We start from the raw sequence: 1,602 nt of genomic DNA, 5'->3' as shown, positions 1-1,602 counted from the left end.
CGCCTGGCCTTCTTTCTCTTTCTTTCTTTCTTTTTTTTTTTTTTTTTTTTGAGATGGAGTCTCACTCTGTTGTCACCCAGGCTGGAGTGCAGTGGCGCGATCTCGGCTCACTGCAATCTCCACCTCCAGGGTTCAAGCGACTCTCCTGCCTCAGCTTCCTGAGTAGCTGGGATTATAGGCACCTGCCACCACGCCCAGCTAATTTTTGTATTTTTAGTAGAGACGGGGTTTCACCATGCTGACCAGGCTGGTCTGGAACTCCCGACCTCAGGCGATCCGGCGTGAGCCACCGCGCCCCGCCCAGAAATGGTTTTTAACACACACATGAAATGGTTTGGAAAGGAGCCTTTCTCTAATGCAAGGTGTGGCAAGGATTCACGGCCAGGTTGAATGAGGTCTGTATTTCAGGTTGAGGTTTCTGCTTTGAGGCACTCCCGAGGACTTGAAGGTTTTTCTTTTTTCTCCGAACAGAGTTGCTTGGCTGAAGAGCTCCGATGTCCCCTCCCTAGCGTACATGCCTGTCACCTGCCACCCTGGAGGAGCCCTGGGAAGCCAGCATCTTGCATGTGGGGATTTTGCCTGAAGCATCCTCCTTGGCCCCTGGCATGGCCAGGCTGGCATCTGGAGAGTCCGGGCTGCCTAGCTGAGGGTCATGCCAGGAAAAGCAGGTTTGAACTTGGTGGATGATCAGAGGCTCCTCCTCCCACTCACTATCACGCCACTGCCTGCACATCCTTCAGATGCCAGGCGCCGGAGCACCCTGCACTGAGCTGGGCAGGAGGAAGGCGGTGGCTCTGAGGAATCCAATTGGGATGCAGAGAAGGAGGCAACTCCGGAACCCACCCTCTGGATGGCGGAGGACTCCAGGGAGTGAATCACACCCAGAGAACTTGGGTTTCACTGGGTCCTTAGAGGAAGATGTGACACAGCGAAGGGAAGGGCATAGGCTCTGGGATTCCACAAGCCTGGGTTGAATCCAGCTCTGCCGCTTTCCCGTGTGTCACTTCTGGGAACTTAGGTCATCTCTCTGAGCACGTATAAAATAGCAATGGTAAAAACAGGCCGGGCAGAGTGGCTCACACCTATCAGCCCAGCACTTTGGGAGGCCGAGGCGGGTGGATCACCTGAGGTCAGGAGTTCAAGACCAGCCTGGTCAACATGGTGAAACCCCATCTCTACTAAAAATACAAAAAGTAGCTGGGCGTGGTGGCGCACACCTGTGGTCCCAGCTACTGGGGAGGCTGAGGCAGGAGAATCTCTTGAACCTGGGAGGTGGAGGTTGCAGTGAGCTGAGATCGCACCATTGCACTCCAGCCTGGGCGACAGAGCGAGACTGTCTCGGAAAAATAAAAATTAGCCAGGCATGGTGACCCACGCCTGTAATCCCAGCAACTTGGGAGGCTGAGGCAGGAGAATAGTGTGAACCCGGGAGGCAGAGGTTGCCGTGAGCCGAGATTACGCCATTGCACTCCAGCCTCCAGCCTGGGAGACAAGAGTGAAACTCCACCTCAAAAAAAAAAAAAAAAGCTATGATAACAATAATAATACCTGCCCCAAGGTATTATACCCATTACCCAGACTTGGCTGTTATGAAGATTTCAT

At 53.6% G+C, this 1,602-nt stretch overlaps 1 annotated feature.

Moving 5' to 3' along the window:
• Window positions 332-1,139: an enhancer, noted in NCBI's record as "H3K4me1 hESC enhancer chr1:17786613-17787420 (GRCh37/hg19 assembly coordinates)". NCBI's record gives its function as "activates a minimal SCP1, AML or CMV promoter by ChIP-STARR-seq in naive H9 embryonic stem cells {active_cell/tissue: H9 hESC(naive)}" and the evidence as "EXISTENCE:reporter gene assay evidence [ECO:0000049][PMID:30033119]".

This window comes from Homo sapiens, chromosome 1 (genome assembly GCF_000001405.40).
Source record: "Homo sapiens chromosome 1, GRCh38.p14 Primary Assembly".
In the NCBI taxonomy this organism is placed as follows: Eukaryota; Metazoa; Chordata; class Mammalia; order Primates; family Hominidae; genus Homo; species Homo sapiens.
This window is presented reverse-complemented; position numbering and strand designations above follow the sequence as displayed.